This window comes from Homo sapiens, chromosome 2 (genome assembly GCF_000001405.40).
Source record: "Homo sapiens chromosome 2, GRCh38.p14 Primary Assembly".
In the NCBI taxonomy this organism is placed as follows: domain Eukaryota; kingdom Metazoa; phylum Chordata; class Mammalia; order Primates; family Hominidae; genus Homo; species Homo sapiens.
The window spans coordinates 97,246,267-97,268,369 of NC_000002.12; the positions used below are offsets into that span (position 1 = coordinate 97,246,267).

The 22,103-nt window shown below is 39.7% G+C and overlaps 1 protein-coding gene across 50 annotated transcripts in view, besides 1 other annotated feature; it reads left to right on the forward strand.

Moving 5' to 3' along the window:
* ANKRD36 (ankyrin repeat domain 36) overlaps positions 1-18,255 on the forward strand; it is a 151,369-nt gene extending 133,114 nt beyond the window's left edge. For 43 of the 50 annotated variants that reach the window (NM_001354587.1, XM_017004010.2, XM_017004023.2 and 40 more), the window contains 5 exons: positions 1,210-1,362; positions 2,878-2,948; positions 3,286-3,379; positions 3,878-3,907; positions 18,063-18,255. In NM_001354587.1, coding sequence (NP_001341516.1) covers positions 1,210-1,362; positions 2,878-2,948; positions 3,286-3,379; positions 3,878-3,901 — 342 coding nt within the window. In that variant the 3' untranslated portion in view covers positions 3,902-3,907; positions 18,063-18,255. Of the gene's footprint in view, positions 1-1,209; positions 3,380-3,877; positions 9,674-17,971 lie in introns of those variants that run through there. The other 7 variants (XM_006712514.4, XM_047444230.1, XM_047444227.1 and 4 more) reach the window with 5 other exon arrangements.
* Positions 909-1,494: an enhancer, noted in NCBI's record as "NANOG hESC enhancer chr2:97912912-97913497 (GRCh37/hg19 assembly coordinates)". NCBI's record gives its function as "activates a minimal SCP1, AML or CMV promoter by ChIP-STARR-seq in naive and primed H9 embryonic stem cells {active_cell/tissue: H9 hESC(naive and primed)}" and the evidence as "EXISTENCE:reporter gene assay evidence [ECO:0000049][PMID:30033119]".
* Positions 18,256-22,103: the final 3,848 nt, after the last annotated feature.

A 22,103-nucleotide genomic window follows, 5' to 3' on the forward strand; every position in this document is an offset into this window, starting at 1 on the left:
ATGTGTCACTTATAAAATTTTAAGTTATAAAATGTTAACATAGACTAACATTAATAATGTAGTCTTATACTGCTGAAGTAATAATTTTAATGTATTTATGTTGCAACATTTTAAGACCATGATAAATCAGGTATATGGAAATGCTCATACCTAAAATGGTATTTTGAAATTGATTCAATTAAGTGGGGTACTTTGACAGTGAATTTCAGATTTCCTAGATGAACTGAAGTGTATTCCCTATTTCATAATTACTTTTCTTCAGTAGCTTTAAATATGTCTTAGTTGGTAAAATTTTGTTTTTCTTCATGTCAATTTGACTTAAATCTGAAACTATTTCAATCTCAAATTATGTATAGATATGACCATTCTATTCTTTCAAGGCATCTAATTTTACTTCTATTATAATATGGGGCAAATGCAGTAAATTTTAGCCAAATCATGTTTGATTTAATCTTCCCACTGGCATTTATAATTTACTTTCAGTTTTTAAATAAAAAATTTGTTCATAATTTTTATTTCAAGGCTCAATTACTATCATTTGGATATAACTTTGTCCAGGACAAAGAGAGGCATAGCTATCTGTGATTTATTAGTTTGACACTGGATCCCCATTTTCAGACTAAGGAGGATTTCAGACTAACGAGGAGTGGCAGGATTCACGTAGAGTAGGAATGGAGTGAGTACGGAGGAGAGATATAGCAGCTGAGTCAGGGCGGGAGGTGGAGGGCGGGTTACTTAGAGCATCTAAGGCCACTGGAATTTTACTTTTCTTCTGAGATAGACATCTATTGGAAGGATTTAAGCAGATGATTTAATGTGAGGAACTCTGAGGTTGATTTGAGTTTCTAATTTAAAAAAAGAGGGAAATCATTCCACAATGTATAATTTACTACCATCAGTCTCACCCACATACTCATTTCTTTTTGAGACTTCAGAAGGTTTTTAAGCATTGCAGATTCATCAAGGGAGGAATGACTAGTGGGCTGAATATGTTGTGTGAATAACAATACCAGTTTGGCAGGAAGATAACACCTTCTGTATCCTTAACTGGATTCAGTAATACACAGGAATGTGTACACATGAGGAAAAGAAGGTGAATCGGTCTGTGTGGTGATATTTTTCAAAGAGTATGCTTTAGAGTTAAATATTATTAATGGTTTAATAATAAGGTGATTTGTAAAATCAGTAACAAAAATAACATCTTATCAGGTAGCTGTGAGACAGCTTCAACAAAAACGAGATGATGTCTTAAACAAAGGATCAGCAACAAAAGCTCTGCTGGATGCTTCATCGCGTCACTGCACCTATTTAGAAAATGGGATGCAGGATTCAAGGAAGAAATTAGACCAGATGAGAAGTCAAGTATGTATGCAACTTTGCACACCAACAACTGTTAATCTGTAGCTAGTTAACTAATATAAAGTGTTTTGGGGTACTAATTTTAGTGGATGGCTTTCTTTTGTATTTTTATGATAATTAATGTTATTAAAATTTTATAGTGGATGGCTTTCTTCTGTATTTTCCTTATTATTAATTTTATTAAGATTTTATTATAATGCACCTATATCTTAATCTCTGGCTTTCATTCTGCCATTTTTTATACATATATTTTTTTCTTAAATATTTAACCTTAGGAAAGTTGAGAATTATGCATCATTTCTCACAGAAGTTGAGAGAGTTTTTTTTTCCTGTTAAACAGTCTATTTTTAATGATTTCTCTATTGGCATGGTGAGGCAAGCCAGGTTAATTCAGAGGATAATGTCTAATGGAATGTTTCAGAAAATTATCTTCTTTTTAGTCTCTACTTTTCTGAATGTATAAAGAACCTGTGTATACTTATTTCTTAGATTTCAGGTTAACTTGTTCAGAAAGGCCATTTTACTGAATAAATTTTTATTTCGATGAAAATCCTTACTTCCTTTGTATTGGGCTCAGAGAGCACACTCTGTCTCTATATGAATATGGACAGTTAGCATTTGCCAACATGTATCTATTTTCTCTTATTTGTAGAGAAAGCTAAACTAAAAAGGGGGTTATAGAAGGTCAGCAAAGGATGGGTTTGAGATGTTTGGGTTGGTTAAGTGGGCATTTAGACAACAGGGCTTCTCCTTTGGCATGTTTAATGGACATCTTTGCAGTTTAAGATGACGCTTTTAAATCACTTCTCTCCTAATGATGACCTGAGTCCTGCTATTCAATGGGAGAGTCAATAAGATCCTGTAGGATCTTATTTGGAACTGACTTTGTCGATTTTAATTTTGTTCCTGCTTGTTTTTAAATTTTCTTGTTGTTTCCCTAGAAAGGAAAGATGATGCTTAGTTTTAAATATTTAAAAATGTGCAAGTTGCTTTGCTATAATAAAACTAAATGCATACATACAAAAAATAAAATTATAGTTGATGTGGTAGTGTTTGGAATTCAAAATATAAATGCTTAGCGTGAGGTAATCCTTTATCTTTCCACATTTTACCAGTTTGTAAGTTTGAGTATTTAATTGATAAAATGTAATTCAAAAGCAAGAAGAATGTTGTGTTTTAGTCCTAGAGCAGGGGTCTGTGAACTTTTCTGTAAAGGGCCAGATAGTGTTATGTAAGGCTTTGTGAGCCATAAGATCCTTGTTGCAATAACTCGGCCCTGCAATTACAGCACAAAAGTAGCCATGAACAATATGCAGACTGAAGGGGTGTAGCAGTGTCCCACTAAAATTACTTACAAAAAACAGGTAATGGGATGATTTCTCCTAGATTATGACCTTTTATAAATAAAAAAGATTGTGATAGTCTAAAATATTTCATATATATTTTGTTGATTCATTCATCTACTGATGGACATTTAGGTCATTTCCAAATGTAATTTTTTAAAATTCTTTGTTTCAGTTTCAAGAAATACAGGATCAACTTACAGCTACTATAAGATGTACTAAGGAGATGGAAGGCGACACACAAAAGTAAAATTTGAAGCAGCACACAAAATAACTTGAGTATTTATAAAGCAAAAGAGCACTGTAGTATGAAAATTGTATCAGTTATGATAATTAGTATGTCTTTGTGAAGCCAAAAAAGTTTCATTTGTAAGCTATATCGAAATACATCATTTTTCTACATTATTCCTAAATTTTGCATATTATCACCAAAACACAGGTAGAAAATGACACAGTAGCCCAATCGTCTACTTTTGTGATTGCTAAGAATTTGTGTAATTATACCTTCAGAAGTTTGTTTAGAATTTACATGATTTAAAAAAAATTACGTGTGAGAGTAATTATTTTAAAATGCACATTTTAGGCTTGAAGTAGAACATGTGATGATGAGAAAAATTATTAAAAAACAGGATGACCAAATTGAGCGGCTTGAGAAAATCCTGCAGCATTCAAGTTTGGTAAGCTGATCTCTTAATTTCTGTCATACTGAAAAGGAATTTTATTTTTCCAGTAGGATGGGTTAAATATCCCTTGTCCAAAATGCTTGGGACCAAAAGTAGATTTTTTTCAGATTTTGGAATATTTGTATATACCTAATGAAATATCTTGCGGATGGTACCTGAGTCTAAACATGAAATTCATTTGTGTTTCATATATACCTTATGCACATAGCCTGAAGGTAATTCTCTACAATGTTTTACAGTAATTTTTTGCAGGTAAGAAAGTTTTTACTGTTTTCCCCAGAGCCTGTCACATGAGGTCAGGTGTGGAACGTTGCAGTTGTGGTGTCATGTCCGTGCTCAAAAAGTTTCAGATTGTAGAGCATTTTGGATTTCAGATTTTTAGATTAGGGATGATCAATCTACAGTACAGATGCTCCTTGACTTACAGTGGGTTTACATGATAATGTCTCTTGTTTGACTGAAACATTATAAGTAATATTTGATTTATTTCAGATGCTGCAGGTGTTTGAGAGCTAGATGAAGGTATGTTGCCAAAATTTATGAATTAAATTCAAATCATTGATTTCTGAAATAAACTCTAAGTAGTGAACGGTATTCCCTCTCAATTGCTTGGTTAATAAATGCTACATTAAATATTTTTTCTTACACACATCTAGTGAAAGATGTGAAAACATAAACATTCATAGTGAAGGGTATACTTATGCTTTGTTAATTCATCATGTTTCATAGCTTTAAAAAAATCGCAAGAAATCTGTGTATCCCTTTTTTTCTGGCCCTACACTTTTCTTCTGCCACCCCTATAGACTATCAGCCTGCACACTGAAACTGTTCTCACAAAACAAAGGCATTATCAACTTCTCAAGGTTAAGGTAGTGATTTAAGGCTAACAGACCCCACACTCATGTGATAATAATTAGTTAAGCAATTACAGGTCACAAGCAGTCACTTGACCAGTGACATTTTAAATCTCTAGTCATTGACTTTGTCATTGGTTTACTTTTGCCCCTGGGAAAAGTTGAAAATTCCTTAGCATGGAATCAAAACTCTCACATCAGTGTGGTTCTTGTCAAGTTATTCAGCCTTATCTTTCGCCACTTACCATACTCTACACCTTTGTTCTAGCATCCAGCCAAACTAGACTACATGGAGCTCCACAGTGATCGTCTTCACCTCCAGCTGTTTGCATTTACTTCTTCCCTCTATCCTACATGTGTTTTCCTTCCCCTTCAGATATCAACCTATGAATTGCCTCTACCAAAAAGCCTACAATATTGACACAAACCTGGGCTAGTATCCCTTCTATGTCTTCCAATAAGTGCTGTCTTATGCTTGTCATTGTATGTATGACTCTGTATGGGAATTGCCTGTTTGTTTTTTCAGATTATAGCATACAGTTGTTGAGGGGCGGACCGTATCATCTTTATCTTGTAATTCCAGTGCTTGTCCTAGTACCTTAGCACATGGTTGCTGAATACATGAACGAAGAGTGAGAAACCAGAAGCTCTGATACTTAACTGCCATGATAATGAATTCGGTGTGCAACTATGGGCAAATTATATTTAATAGTAATTGCATATTGTACATATTTTTCATTCTTATTAACACTGATAAGCTTTTCAGCATATACTGACTTTCTCTTAGTTAACTGTGAAATCATTTAGATAAAGAATATAATTCTTTTTCATTCTAACTTCTGAATTTAAATCTGAATCCTCTATAGCAGGGGTCCCCAACTCCCAGGCCACACACAGTTCCATGACCTGTTAGGAAGCAGGCTGCACAGCAGGAGGTGAGTGGCAGGCAAGCGAGTGAAGCTTCATCTGTATTTCCAGCCACTCCCTGTTGCTCACATTATCACCTGAGCTCTGCCTCCTGTCAGATCAGCAAAGCCATTAGATTCTCACAGGAGTGAAAATCCTACTGTGAACTGCTCGTTCAAGGGATCTAGGTCACATGCTCCTTATGAGACTCTAATGCCTGATGATATGTCATTGTCTCCTATCTCTTCACGATGGGACCATCTAGTTACAGAAAAACAAGCTCAGGACTCCCATTGATTCTCCATTATGATGAGTTGTGTAATTATTTCATTATGTATTACAATGTAGTCATAATAGGAATAAAGTGCACAATAGATGTAATACGCTTGAATCACCATCCTGAAACCATCCCCCAAACCCCCATCTGTGGAAAAATTATCTTTCACAAAACTGCTGCCTGGTGCCAAAAAGGCTGGGGACTGCTGCTCTATAGCTTCTGCACTAGAATCTACTAATGAGTAAAATTTAAATCAATAACTAGTTTTAAAAGCATAACAAGAATATGTGCTGTCTGGCTGCAGTGGCTCATGCCTGTATTCTCAGCACTTTGGGAGGCCAGTGCAGGTGGATCACTTGAGGTCAGGAGTTCAAGACCAGCCTGGCCAATATGGTGAAATCCTGTCTCTACTAAAAATACAAAAATTAGCTGGGTGTGGTGGTGCATGCCTGTAGTCTCAGCTACTCGGGAGGCTGAGGTGGGAGAATCACTTGAACCCGGGAGGCAGAGGTTTCAGTGAGCCAAGATCGTGCCACTGCACTCCAGCCTGAGCAACAGAGTGACTCCATCTCAAATGCAAAACAAAACAGAAAGAATACATGCTGACGAAAAAAATCTAAGACAATAAAATTGTATTACTAGGCTGTTAACATGATATTTTGTTTCCCGTTAAATGTGTGACATGCAAAAGTATTTATTAAATGAAAATATTTTTTATCTTTTATGTCTGATGAAAATTTATATCGTGTTTTAAATGATGTTTCTTGGCCTCTTTAACTTTTTATTTTTTTATTATTTTTTTTTTGAGACGGAGTCTGGCTCTGTCACCCAGGCTGCAGTGCAGTGGCGAGATCTTGGCTCACTGCAAGCTCCGCCTTCTGGGTTCACGCGGTTCTCCTGCCTCAACCTCCCGAGTAGCTGCGACTACAGGTGCCCAGCTAGTTTTTTTTTGTATTTTTAGTAGAGATGGAGTTTCTCCCTGTTAGCCAGGATGGTCTCCATCTCCTGACCTTGTGATCTGCCCACCTCGGCCACCCAAAGTGCTGGGATTACAGGTGTGAGCCACTGCACCGAGCCTGAAAATCTTACTACCTAAATAACTTCCCACTCCACTCACACCCACAATCTTTCTATAATCCACATTCTCTCCTGAGACAAGAGCTTGGGAAGTTCCGTCTTGCTGAGGGAACTTTATATTGTTCAGGAATTCTTTAATAAGGTTTTACATAGTTGGGGAAACCAGGGAAAAGCAGGTTTGTCACTGCTTTGCTGAGGAGCAGACTCACGTGCCTTGGAAGAATTTAGTAAACCTTCAATAGATGGCCTAAGATACTAACAGGGGCCATCTCATTAAGCTACACAGTTATTTATAAATGAAAGTATAATCTAGAACTTACATGTCAAAGTCTTCCACTAGAAAGATGGCAATATTTGACTAAAACTGCAAAGTTTGTCCCAGTTGACAAAACTCTAATCAAGCCCCTGCCCTTCTCATTCTGTTTTTCCTTTTAAACTTTTTCTTATATTTTAATTTTTCATTTGACAAATGCATATTTCCTCTTTATACCATGCTTCCAAGTGTCACTCTGATACATACCTTCAATGAGCAGACACAGGATTGTGGAGTTTGTTGTGGACACTCATCCCATGAATAGGGAGACTCCGATAACCTGAACAGACGGCTCTAGAAAAGAAAGGAAACTTTCTTTTCCTTCCATACAGAGCTTCCCCCCATTATTTCAGTGTACACAAACCAACATCAGTTCTTTAACACAAAAATAAAAATACTCAAGATCAAGCAATTGTGAGGGGAATCATCTTTCCAGAAGTCAATTCTTCTAGCGGCTACCTTCAGCATATACAACTTGAATAAAAAGAAGTTGGTCAAACGAGTAAAACTTTCCCACCTCATTCCAGTTCTATCTACCCATTGACAACACCTTCGGTCTTCTCACAAATATTGAGTAGAAACACTGCCAACTCTTCACCTTTATCTGGCTCATTCCCAGAGCCAGGAGAAGATGTGACTTATTTGGTGGATGGGAAATCTTATCCATTGGTCCCATCAAATCCATTGGTCCACGTTTGCCTATTAGTAAGGCAAACTTACTCAGTGATCAATGAGTACATCTAGTCTCTCTTTCTCCTCTGGATTCTGAACAGGAGACTTGGAAGGCAGGTGAAGACCCTCCCTGCACTGGGTGGGTAACTGACTGTTCTTCAGATGAACTTTTTTTTGTTCAGGTTCTAAAGTCAAGGCTAGGGGGCAATATTAGAAGTCTTTTTTGGTCAACATTAAGCCATAGTTTCTAAATCAGCTTTAGGAGGAATAATGTATTTGGATATTGATCTGACCTTTTGTTTTTATTTCTAAGTTGGTTTGGCACTGAAAAAGGAGAGGTTTGTTATCAGTCCACACCCCTAATGCCCTGACATCCATGAATCCGTTTTAGTGGAATCCAGATCTCTAAGAAAGAGATATAAAATATTTGTTCCTATCCAACTGTGATTACTGTATTTCCAACTATGTTGCTGTCGGTAAGTAGAGTCTGCATACATGTTTCTGGTTCATATATGCCTAGGGTTCCAGAGCATTACATTTCCATCAAAATGTAGATCCCGAGAATGCCAGAGAGGGTCAGGCCGAGGATAGAACAGACAGTGATTTTCAGATACTGCAGTAGGAAGGTGGATCCATGTCTTGGCTGGTACTTGTAACCATGAAGTGTGGGAAAGTAATGACCAGATTGAGTAAATGACCAGAAATTCAAAACTAAGCCACAAGAAATTTGTCTATTTCTGCTTTTGTTGACTGCTATCAGGGTTGCATCAAAAACAGTATTGCTGAGACCAGTGTTGTGGAGCTTTAACTCTATGTTTTCTTCTAGTAATTTTACAGTTCAGGCCTTCTATTTAAATCTTCATTTGGAGTTGATATTAGTATGTGGTGTAAGTTAAGGGACTAACTTTATTTTTCCTGTGGATATTCAGTTTTCTCAACACCATTTGTAGAACAGACTATCCTTTAACCATTGTATGTCCTTGGCACCTTTGTCAAAGATAAGTTGACGTGTGTGGATTTATTTCTGGGTTTTCCATTTTGTTTAGCAAATTTGTCCATTTATATGCCACTACCATGATTACAATTGTTTTACAATATGTAATAAAATTAGGTAGCATGCTGTCTCTAGCTTTGTTCTTTTTGCTCAAGATTATTTTGTCTATTTTAGGTCTGTTCAATACAAATGTCAAGATTTTTTTCCATTTCTGTAAAAGAATGGCATTGGAATTTTGATAGTGATTGCATCAAATATGTTGCTTTTGGTATTTTGTTCATTTTCACAATATTAATTCATCCCATCCACAAGCATGAATTTTTTTTTCATTTACTTGTGTTTTTAAATTTTTGTTCATTGGTGTTTTATAGTTTTTCATATACAGGACCTTTAATTTTTTGCTTAAATTTACACCTAAGTATTTAATTTCTGTTGCTATCATACTTGGGATTTTTAAAAAATTTCTTCAGGTAGTTTGTTATTTGTATACAGAAACACTTCTGATCTTTGTTAGATTATTTTGTATCCTGAAACCTTATCGAATTCATGCATCAGTTCTAACAGTTTTTGGTGGAATATTTAGGGTTTTCTGTATACAGGATCATGTTGTCTGCAATTAGAGATAATTTCACTTTTTTCTGAGTAGGATGCTTTTCTTTTCTTGTCTAATTGTTCTGCCTAGGAATTCCACTGTTAACGATGAAAAGAAGTGGTGAGACTGGTCATCCTTGTCTTGTCTCTGAACATGGAGGAAAAGCTTTCCACTTTTCACTGTTGAGAATAATGTTAGCTAAGAGCTTGTCATACACGGTTCTTTTTTGTGTCGAGATACATTTTCTCTACACTTAATTTGTTGAGAGCTTTCATCATGAAAGGGTTTTAAATTTTGTCATGTGCTTTTTCTGCATGTATTGAGAGAATCGTATGATTTTTGTCTTTGACTTTGTTCATGCATTTTATCACATGTATTCATATGCATATGTTGAAACCAACTTGCATCCAAAGGATAAATCCCACTTTATCATGGTGAATGATTCCATTCATATATTCTTAAATTTGGTTGCTAATGTTTTGTTGAAGATTTTTGAATCAGGGTTCGTTACTGACATTGGCCTAGTATTTTCGTCTCTTGTAGTGTCCTTGTCTGTCTTTGGTATCGGAATGATGGTACCCTAATAAAATGAGTTTGGAAGTATTTCCTCTATTTCACTTTTTTGAAAGAGTTTGAGAGTAATTAGTATTAGTTCTTTAAAGGTTTGTCAGAATTTAGCAGTGAAGCCTTCTGGTCCTATGCTTTTCTTTCATGGGAGGCTTTTAATTTCTGCTTCAGGCCAGGCTTGGTGGCTCACACCTGTAATCCTAGCACTTTGGGAGGCTGAGGTGGGTGGATTGCTTGAGGTCTGGAGTTCGAGACCAGCCTAGCCAAAGTAGTGAAACCCTGTCTCTACTAAAAATACAAAAAATCAGATGGGTGTGGTGGTGGGCGCCTGTAATCCCAGCTACTTGGAAGGCTGAGGTAGGAGAATTGCTTGAACCTGGGAGGCGGAGGCTGCAGTTAGCTGAGACTGTGCCATTGCACTCTACCCTGGGCAACAAAAGCAAAACTCCGCTTCAAAAAAAAAAAATTCTGCTTCAATTTCCTTATTATTTATTAGTCCATTCAGATTTTCTGTTTCTTCTTGATTCAGTCTTGGTAAGTTGTATGTTTGTGGAAATGTTTTTATTTCTTCCATGTTATCCAAATTGTTGGCATACAAATGTTCATTATATGAACAATTGTAATCCTTTGTATTTTAGAGTTAAAAGTTGTAATTTCTCCTATTTCATTTCTGATCTTATTTGTTGGAATAGTCCTTTTTCTAGTTAGTCTAGATACGGATTGGTTGATTTTGTTTATCGCCTTAAAAAGAAGTTCAGTATTAATTCTTTCCATTGGGTTTCTCATATCTATTTTATTTATTTCCACTTTAATCTTTGCTATTTTCTTATTTCTGCTAATTCTTGGCTTTGTTTCTCATCTAGTTCATTGAGGTATAATGATTGATTTAACTACATTCTATAAGTTTTGGTATGTTGTGTTTTCATTTTTGTGTGTCTTAAAATATGTTTTTAAATTTTTTCTGTAACTCATGGGCCATTTATGAATATGTTAAATTTTGCTATTTTATGTATTTTTCAAGATTTCTTCTGTTACGGATTTCTAGCTTTATGCCATTGGGATGCAAAAATTTTCTTTCTATAATTCAATTCTCTAATATTTGTTAAGATCTGTTTTGTGGCCTAACATATGACATATACTGGAGAATGTTCCACCCACATTTCAGAAGAACAGGTACACTTCTGCTGTTGGATAGGATGTTCTGGGTATATCTGTTAGATCCAGTTGCTCCAAAGTGTGATTCAAATCTAATGTTTCTTAATTTATTATCTTTCTAAATGATCTTTCCATGGTTGAAATTGGAGTATTGAGGTCTCCTACTATTATAGTATTGCAGTATATTTTTCTCATGAGATTATTTAATAATTGCTTTATGAATTTAGGTCTTGTGACCTTGAGTGCATATATATTTACATGTATTATGTCTTCATGATGAATTAACTCCTTTATCGTTATGCAGTGAACCCTATCTCTTTTATAGGTTTTGACTTAGTTTATTTCTTTTAATAGTAAGTATAGCTCCCCTGCTCTATTTTAGTTTGCATTTGCATGGAATATCTTTTTTCATCTTTTCAGTTTCAGCCTATATATGTCTTGACTGGTAAAGTGAGTCTCTTGTAGGCAGCACATGATTGAATCTTGTTTTTTATTCTATCCATTGAGATGCTCTATGTCCTTTTATTTGACAATGTAATGCACTTACTATCAAGGTAATTATTTATAGGGAAGGACTTGCTACTGCCACTTTGTAATTTTTTTTCTGATTGTTTTATGAGTTCTTTGTTCCCTTTTTCTCTCTTGCTGAACTATTTTATAGCTTGATGGCTTTCTGTGGTGGTATGCTTTAAAATTTTGGATAAATTGCAAAATAAACTTTTTTATTTTGTGCAGTTATGATAGGTTTTGTTTTGTGGTTATCATGAAACTTACCTAAAATATCATATTCTTATAACAAACTACTCTAACAACTTCTGATAGCAACTTCTCTTTAATTGCATCCAAAAGTCTACATTTTCATTCTCTCTCCCTTACAATTGTACAATTTTATGTCAAAACTTACCCTTTTAGTTCATACTTATATACCTTAGCAATTTATTGTAGCTACAGTTATTTTCAATACCTTTGTCTGCTAACCCTACTAGTAGGGATAAAATTGCTTTACAAACCACCCTTAGAATATTAGAGCATTTGGAACATGACTGTGTATTACTGATAGCATTGACGCTTTTTACTTTTATGTGTTTTTTCTTACTATTTAGCCTTTTATTTCAATGTAAGGCTCTTCCTTTAGTAATTCTGATCAATCAGGGATATTGATTATAAATTTTATTAGTTTTTTTTTGTATAGAAAGGTTTTTATATCTCCCTCTCCCTCATTTCTACAGGACAGCTTTGCTAGGCACAGCATTTTTTTTTCAAGATGGAGTCTTGCTCTGTCACCCAGGTTGGAGTGCAGCGGTGTGATCTCGCCTCCCAGGTTCAAGCTTGCTCACTGCCATCTCTGCCTACCAGGTTCAAGCAATTCTCCTGCCTCAGCCTCCCGAGTAGTTGGGATTACAGGCCCATGCCACCATGCCCAGCTAATTTTTGTATTTTTAGTAGAGATGGGGTTTCATCATGTTGGCCAGGCTGGTCTTGAACTCCTGACCTCCTGATCCACCTGCCTTGGCCTCCCAAACTGCTGTGATTACAGGTATGAGCCAGTTCACCCAACCGGGAACAGTATTGTTGATTGGCATTTTTGTTTGTTTGCTTGCTTGTTTGCTTTAGCATTTTGAATACATCATCCCTCTCTCGTGGACTGTAGGGTTTTCTGCAGAGAAATCCACTGAAAGCCATATTGAAGCTCCCTTGAATGTGATGTATTTCTTGTTTTTTTGCTGTTTTCAGTATTCTTTGTTTTTCATTTTTAATAACTTCATTGTGATGTGTGTTGATAAATGCCTCTTGGATTGAAATGGATTCATGACCTCTGCAGTTTTCATACCTCAATGTTGTCATCATTCTTCATGTTTGGGAAATTTTTAGTCATTATTTCATTAAATATGCTTGCTAGGCCTTTTTCTTTTTCTTCTCCTTCAGAAACTGTTATTATATGAAAGTTGGGTTGTTTGATTGAGTCCCATAATTGCCATAGGCATTTGTTATTCTTTTTTGTTGTTGTTTTTCCCCGATGGAATCATTTCAAATGTTTTTTCTTTAAGCTCACTGATTCTTTTTTTCTGCTAATAAAATCAGCTGCTGAAGCATTGTATTAAATTTTTAGTTTGTTGTATTCTCTATATCTAGAATTTCTATTTGTTTTTTTGTTATCATATCTATTTCTACTTCAGAACTATCATTCTGTTAATGAATTGTTTCCCAAATTTATTTTAGTATGTTATCCATGATTTCTTGTACAGGCATACTTCAGGGATATTGCAGGTGTGATTCCAGGCAACCACAATGTAATAAGAACTTGAATTTTTGGTTTTACACTGCATATAAAAGTTTTTTACACTATACCATAGTCTATAAAGTGTGCAATAGCCTTATGTCTACAATTACATACTTTAAAAACTACTTTATTGCTAAAAATGCAAATGATCATCTGAGCCTTCAGTGAATTTTAATTTTTGCTGATAAAGAGTCTTTCCTCTGTGTTGATGGCTGCTGAATGATTAAGGTGGTGGTTGCTGCAGATTGAGGTGGTTGTGGCGATTTCTTAAAATAAAACAACAGTAAAGTTTGCTGCATCACTTGACTCCTTTGATGAAAGGTTTATCTGTAGTGTGCCATGCTGTTGGATAGCATTTTACCTCACAGTAGAACACCTTTCAAAATGAGAGTCGATCCTATCTAATGCTGCCACCGCTTTATCAACTCAGTTTGTATAATAAGATAGGTGTTTTTTTGTCATTTCAACAGTGTTTACAGTATCTTCACGAGGAATAGATTCCATCTCAGATGGATGGGCTATAAGAAACAACTTTTAGTACATTCAAGTTTGATCATGAAACTGCAGAAATTCAGTCACAGGCTCAGGCTCCAGTTTTACTCTTAGTTCTCTCCCTAGTTCCATCACACTCACAGTTACTTCCTCCACTGAAGTCTTGAAACCCTGCAAGCTATCTATGAGGGCTGAAATCAATTTCTTCCAAACTTCATATTTTGACCTCCTCCAAGGAATCACAAATATCTTTAATTTCATCTAGAATAGTGATTGCTTTCTAAAAAAATCCAGATGATTTTTAATTTGCCTTGTGCAGATACACAGAAGAATCATTGTCTATGGCAGGTATAGGCTTACAAAATGTATTCTTAAATAATAAAATGTCCTTGATCCATGGGCTTCAGAATGAATGCTGTGTTAGCAGGCATGAAAACAACATTAATCTATTTGTACAACTCCATCAGAGCTCTTGGGTTATGAGTGCATTGTCAATGAGCAGTAATATTTTAAAAGATATATATATATATATATATATATATATATATACACACATATATACATACACACACATACACATATACACACACACAAACACACACACACACACACACGTTTTCTGGACAATAGGTCTCAACAGTGTGCTTAAGATATTTGGTAAACCATACTGTAAACGATGTGTTTTCATCCAGGCTTTGTTGTTTCATTTATAGAGTATAGGTAGCATAGGTTTAGAAGAACTTAAAAATGTAGCAGAATGGTAAATGAGTACTGCCTTTAATGTTTTAATGTAACCAGCTGCATTAGCCAGTACATAAAGAGTCAGCCTGTCCTCTGAAGATTAGAAGCCAGGCATTGACTTCTCCTCTATAGCTGTGAAAGTTTTAGGTATCCTCTTCTTCCAGTATAATGCTGTTTTGTCTACATTGAAAATCTGTTATTTAGCATAACTGCCCTCATCAATGATCTTAGCTAGATCTTCTGGATAACTTGCTGCAGCTTCTCTATCAGCACTGGCTGCTTTACCTTGCACTTTTATGTTATGAAGATTCTTTTCTTAAACCTCATGAACCAACCTCTGCTAGCTTTAAACTTGTCTTCTGCAGCCTCCTCACCTGTGTCAGACTTCATAGAATTAAAGAATGTTAGGGCTTAGCTCTGGATTCAGCTTTGGCTTAGCGAAATGTTGTGGCTCATTTGATTTTCTATCCAGACCACTAAAACTGTCTTCACATCAGCAATAATACCATTGTACTTATCATTTGTGCATTCACTGGAGTAGTCTGTTTAATTTCCTTTAAGAACTTTTTTTTTTTTGCATTCACAGCTTAGTTTACTGTTTGATGTAAGTTGCCTAGCTTTCAGCCTATCTGAGCTTTCAACATGCTTTTCTCACCCTATTAATCATTTCTAGCTTTGTATTTAAATACTGGCATCATGGGGGCTAATGTGGCTTACAAAGTACAATTCATCTGGCAGATGGAACCATAGTTTGACACTACCAGTCTTATGTCGGGTTCAACCCAGTAATAAATCCAAGCCTACCCATTCTTCCCGGAAGGAGCTTGATTATGCATTGAATCAAGCTCCCAGAAGGAGCTTGATTATGCATTGAAATTCCACAACCTCCGTGGTTAGTGCCCAAGGAACTGTTTTCTTAAGAACTCTGCTCTGTGAGTCGACAGGATTTTGTATTTTTGAATGTATTTAGACCATAGAAAACAAAGAAGTAAGCATACAATGGGCCCACATTCAGAAGCTATCTCCTCAGGATCAGAGGCTGCATCCAGAGTGTGCATAGGTGTTTGTCACAGATCCTCTACCAAGCTTAATGGAGAGAGAGTGGGAGATAAATGTCCATACTAATCTTCATCATGTAGCTAGAAAGAACTGAAACACTCCTCCAGCCTTCTAACTTTCTAGCTACATCTGGATTGTCTGGCTCCTACCTTAACCAATTTCTGGTTACTGACAAGGCGTGGCACATCCTAAGTTCCAGGGAGCCACCAAAAACAGTCAATACTAGAGCACACAAGGACTTGAGAGGTACCTGAAGATCTCTGGCTGGAAAGTTTGGTGAGATCCTTTTCCTACATGAGGCCAGTCTTATCAAATGCACGGGAACCAACAGAGAGAGTCGAGGAAAAATGAAGAAACAGGGAAATATATTCAAAGCAAGAAAACAAGATAAATCTCCAGCACCTGAGTGAAGTGCAGATATGTAATTTATCTGACAGAGATTTCCAAATAATGGTCATAACAATAATCACTGAGGTCAAGATAGCTTTGCAAGAACAAGTTGAGAACTTCAAGAAAAGGAAAAACGTTATACAATAATGTCAAACAAATCATAGATCTAAAGTGTACTGTAACTGAACTGAAAAAATTTAATAGAGGTGTCCATTAATAGAATCTATCAGTGAACTTTGAGACTGGTCACTGGAAATTATCTAACCTGAGGATCAGAAAAAAAGATAATGCAAACGGAGTGAAGACAACTTTAGAGAGTTATGGGACACCATCAAGCAGGACCACTCACACATTATTGGCATGCCTGAAGGAGAAGTGAGGAAGAAAGGAACGGAAAAGTGTTTAAAGGAATAATGACAGAGAATTTATCAAGCATGGGGAAGAAAACAGAAAGCCTGATCCAGAAAGCCCAAAGGAAACCAAATAAGGTGAATCCAGGGACTCACAACAAGATACACTATAATCAAATTGTCCAAAGTTAAAGACAAAAAGAGAGTGATATTGTTTGCAAATTTGTACCCTCCAAATATTGTGTCAAGATTTGATCCCCAATGTTGGAGGTGGGACCTAGTGGGAGGTGTTTGGGTCATGGTGGTTGATCTCTCCTGGATAGCTTCTTGCCCTTTTTTCACTAATGAGTGAGTTCTCACTGCATTACACGAAAGGTGGTTGTTTAAAACAGTGTGGCACCTCTCCCGTCTCTTCTACCTCTCTAGCCATGTGTGTCATACCCGTTGTCTCTTCACCTTTAGCCACAAGTAAAAGCCTTCTGGGTCCCTGACCAGAAGCTGTGCAGATGCCACTGCCATTCTTCTTCTACAGCCTGCAAAACTGTGAGCCAAACAAACCTCTGTTCCTTATAAATTACCTAGTCTCAGCTAATTTTTTATAGCAACACAAAAATTTGTGTTTTTCCGTGTTGCTCTTTTCTGTGTTATTCTGTGTTGCTAACACAGAAATTAGTACCAAGGAGTGGGGTTTTGCTATAAAAATACCTGATAATGCAGAATTTGCTTTGGAACTGGGTAATAGGCAAAGAAGTCAGGAAGATGAGGAAACTTGTGGAACTTAATTAGACCTTGGTTAAGTGGTTGACCAAAATGATAATAGGAATATGAACAGTGAAGGCCATGCTGTTGAGGTACATAGAATACAACTTTCAAGAAGTGACTGCACCATTTTGCATTCCCACAAGCAATGAATGAAGTTTCCTCTTGCTCCACATCCTTGCCAGCGTTTGATGTTGTCAGTGGTTCTAGATTTTGGTTATTCTAATACGTGTGCAGTGGCATCTCATGGTTGCATTTCTCTGAGGAAATATTATGTGTAGCCTCATTACATATGCTTATTTTCCATTTGTATAATTTACTTGGTGAGGTACTTGTTAAGGTCTTTAGCTCATGTCTTTTACTGCTCAGCTTTAAGAATACTAATATGTTTTGAATAATAGTTCTTAATCAGATACGTTTTGGCAAATTTTTTTCCATCTGTGGTTTCTCTTTTCTTTCAGTGTCTTTAATGGTGTAAAAATGTTACATTTTCATCAAGTCCAGCTTGTCAATTCTTTCTTCTATTGACTTCAACTTTGGTGTTTTTTCTAAAGGTCATCATTAAACCCAAGATAATCTGTATTTCCTTCTATATTATCTTCTATAAATTTTATAGTTTTTTGTATATTTATGTTGCTGATCCATTTTGAGTTAATTTTGGTGGGGGTGTAAGGTCTGCAATTTATTTTTTTTTTGCATGTGGATATCCAGGTATTCCAGCAGCCCTTCCTGAAAAAACTGTTTCATCATCATAATGCCTTTACTTTTTTGTCAAAAATTAATCGAATGTATTAATGTGTTTCTATTTGTGAACTCTCTATCTCATTTTATCCGTTTGTTCTTTCACTAATACCACACTGTCTCCATTACTGTAGCTTTAGGGTAAGTCTTGAAATTGAGTAGTGTCTGTCCTCCAAGTTTGTTCTTCTCCTTCAATATGGTGTTAGCTATTCAAGGTCTTTTGCCTCTCCATATAAACATTTTCATTTAGAGTAGAATTGCATTGAATCTATACATTGGAAAGAACTGACATCTTAATAGCATTGAATCTACTTATGAATACGGTACATATCTCTTTTTGTTTCATTCTTCGCTTTCTTTCATCAGATATGGACATTTCTGGAATTAAGAGCATTGAATCTACTTATGAATACGGTACATATCTCTTTTTGTTTCATTCTTCGCTTTCTTTCATCAGATATGGACATTTCTGGAATTAAGAGCCCCCTCTACATTGAGCACAAGACAGTGACGAATCCACATTCTTCAGCCAGAAAGTCACCTCTGAGAGCCAAATGTCTGACTATAGAAAGGAGAGTCAAAGAATGATAACGACATCTCAGGAAAATTGTGAAAATAATCAGCAGCCGGATGTGGATAACCCTTTCAAATTTCTCCAGGGCACCTGTCATTTCAGCCAATACTTGCCAGCTTGTGCCAAGGATGCTGGAGCTCCCTGGGATGAGTTTCCCAGGGGAGGAGCTGGCCGCCATCTTTGCTGTTTGGGTGACACAGCCATTCCAGCCTGTGGGCTTTGGACAGTGCAAACTGGTGGGGTAGAAGGGATCCCTAGAATAGCACAGCTGCTCTCCCAACATGTGCCCAGATCCTTTTTTTTTTTTTTTTTTTTTTTTTTTTTTTTTTTTTTTGAGAAGGAGTCTTGCTCTGTCACCCAGGCTGGAGTGCAGTGGCATGATCTCGGCTTACAGCACCCATCACAGCCCTGGTTCAAGCAGTTCTTCTGCCTCAGCCTCCCAAGTAGCTAGGACTACAGGTGCCCATCACCACGCACAGCGAATTTTTTTATTTTTAGTAGAGATGGGGTTTCACCATGTTGGCCAGGCTGGTCTGGAACTCCTGACCTCAAGTGATCCACCCTGCTGGGCCTCCCGAAGTATGGGGATTACAGGCATGAGCCACCGTGGCCGGCCCCAGACAGAATCTTTAAGGGGATTCCCAATCTGTTCCTCCCAACCAGGGCCTCCAGCTACCCCACTGGTGTCTGGGGCTGAGAGGAATTTGAATTCTCCCTGGGAGGGAGTTCTGGAGTTCCTGCCCAGTGGGAGTCCTTCCAACTGGGGCCTGGGGGAGAGGATGGGGCCAGCTTTGGAGAGTCCCAAATGACTGGGGGTGGAAGGGATCCCCCAGCACATCACAACTGCTCTACCAAATAGTGGCCAGGCAGATTCTTTACACAGATCCCTGATTCTTTCCTCCTCTCTGGGTGGGACCTCCCACCTGGGGCCTCCACCACCCCACCGGTGTTCTCGAGCTGACAGAGATTTACATTCTCCCCGGGAAGGAGTTGTCGAGGTCCTGCCCAGTAAGGAGGAATGGATCAGGAACCTGGTAAAAGAATCTGCCTTCTAAGATTTTGTAGAGTAGCTGTGCTGTGCTGATGATATATCCCTTCTGCCCCGGTAGGTATGGATTCTCCAGAGCCCGCGGGCTGTAACGACTAAGTTGCACAAACAGCAAAGATGGCTCCTTGCTCTTGCGCGTGGGAACTCATTCCAGGAATTCAAATCTCTGTCAGCCTGAGAACACCGGTGTGGGTGGCTGGAGGCCCCAGCTGAAAGGACCCTCATTGGGCTGGACCTCCAGGCCTCCATGCCAGGGAGAACTCAAATCTCTGTCAGCCCCAGAACACTGGTGGGGGTGGCTGGAGGCCCCAGTTGGGAGGTCCCCCACTGGGCCAGACCCCGAGACCTCCATGCCAGAGAGAATTCAAATCTCTGTCAGCCCCAGAACACTGGTGGGGGTGGCTGGAGGCCCCGGTTGGGAGGTCCCTCACTGGAAGGGACCCCAAGAACCGCATCCCAAAGATAATTCAAATATCTGTCAGCCCCAGAACACTGGCGAGGGTGGCTGGAAGCCACGGTAGGGAGGTCCCTCACTAAGCAGGACCTCAAGACCTCCATACCAGGGGGAATTCAAACCTCTGTCAGCCACAGAACACTGGCAGGGGTGGCTGGAGGCCCTAGTTGGGAGGTCCCTCACTGCGCCAGACCCCAAGACCTCCATGCCAGAGAGAATTCAAATCTCTGTCAGCCCCAGAACACTGGCGGGAGTGTCTCAAGGCCCCTATTGGGAGGTCCCTCGCTGAATGGAACCTCAAGACCTCCATCCCAAAGAGAATTCAAATCTCTGTCAGCCTGAGAACACCAGCGGGGGTGGCTGGAGGCCCCTGTTGGGAGGTCCCTCACTGGGCGGGACCTCGAGACCTCCATGCTGGGGAGAATTCAAATCTCTGTCAGCCCCAGAACGCTGGCGGGGGTGGCTGGAGGCCCCGGTTGGGAGGTGCCTCACTGGGCAGGACCTCCAGAACTCCATGCCAGGGAGAATTCAAATCTCTGTCAGCCCCAGAACACTGGTGGGGGTGGCTGGAGGCCCCGGTTGGGAGGTGCCTCACTGGGCAGGACCTCCAGACCTCCATGCCAGGGAGAATTCAAATCTCTGCCAGCCCGAGAACACTGGTGGGGGTGGCTGGAGGCCCTGGTTGGGAGGTCCCGCCCAGTGAGGAGGAATGGATCACAGACCTTCTTAAAGACCCAGTATGGCCACATTTTGGTAGAGCACCTCGCTGGTGTTCCAGGGCTGACAGAGATCTGAATTCTCCCTGGCACGTAGTTCTCAAGGTCCTGCCCAATGAGGGTCCTTTTACCTGGGGTCCCCAGCCACCCCCTCCGGTGTTCTCAGGCTGACAGAGATTTGAGTTCTCCCTGGCATGGAGGTCTCAGGATCTTGCCCAGTGAGGGACCTCCCAACTGGGGCCTCCAGCCACCCCCTCCGGTGTTCTGGGGCTGACAGAGATTTGAATTCTCTCTGGCATGGAGGTCTTGGGGTGTGGCCCAGTGAGGGGCCTCCCAACTGGGGCCTCCAGCCACCCCCACCAGTGTTCTGGGGCTGACAGAGATTTGAATTCTCCCTGGAATGGAGGTCTCCAGGTCCCACCCAGTGAGGGACCTCCCAACTGGGGCCTGCAACCACCCCTGTCAGTGTTCTGGGACTGACAGAGATTCGAATTCTCCCTGGCATGGAGGTCTTTAAGTCCTGCCAAGTGAGTGACCTCCCAATCGGGCCTCCAGCCACCCCCGCCGGTGTTCTTGGGCTGACAGAGATTTGAATTCTCCCTGGTATGGATGTCTCAGGGTCTGGCCCAGTGAAGGACCTCGGCATCCAGCCACCCCTGCCAGTGTTTTGGGGCTGACAGAGATTTGAATTCTCCCTGGCATGGAGGTCTTGAGGTCCTGCCCAGTGAGGGACCTCTCAACCGTGGCCTCCAGCCACCCCCACCGGTGTTCTTGGGCTGACAGATATCTGAATTCTCCCTGGCACCTAGTTCTCAAAGTCCCGCCCAATGAGGGTCCTTTTAGCTGGGGTCTCCAGCCAATCCCACCGGTGTTCTCAGGCTGACAGTGATTTGAGTTCTCCCTGGCATGGAGGTCTTTAGGTCCTGCCCAGTGAGGGATCTCCCAACTGGGGCCTCCAGCCACCCCCGCCAGTGTTCTGGGGCTGACAGAGATTTGAATTCTCCCAGGTATGCAGTTCTTGGTTCTTGAAGTCCCGCCCAGTAAGGGTTCTCCTAACTGGGGCCTCCGGCCACCCTCACCTGTGTTCTCATGCTGACAGAGATTTGAACTCTTCCTGACATGGAGGTCTCCACTTCCTGTCCGCTGTGGGTCTTTTCAATTCAGGCCTCCAGCCACCCACCCCTGGTGTTCTCAGGCTGACAGAGATTCGAATTCTCCCTGGCACTTAGTTCTTGAGGTCCTACCCAATGAGGGTCCTTTTAGCTGGGGTCTCCAGCCAACCCCACTGGTGTTCTGGGGCTGACAGAGGTTGGAGTTCTCCCTGGCATGGCGGCCTTGGGGTCCCGCCCAGTGAGGGACCTCCCAACTGGGGCCTGCAGCCACCCCTGCCAGTGTTCTGGGGCTGACAGAGATTTGAATTCTCCCTGGAATGGAGGTCTCAGGGTCTGGCCCAGTGAGGGACCTCCCAACTGGGGCCTCCAGCTAACCCCACCAGTGTTCTGGGGCTGACAGAGATTTGAATTCTCCCTGGCATGGAGGTCTTTAGGTCCTGCTTAGTGAGGGACCTCCCTACCGTGGCTTCCAGCCACCCTCGCCAGTGTTCTGGGGCTGACAGAGGTTTGAATTCTCCCTGGAATGGAGGTCTCAGGGTCTGGCCCAGTGAGGGACCTCCCAACTGGGGCCTCCAGCTAACCCCGCCAGTGTTC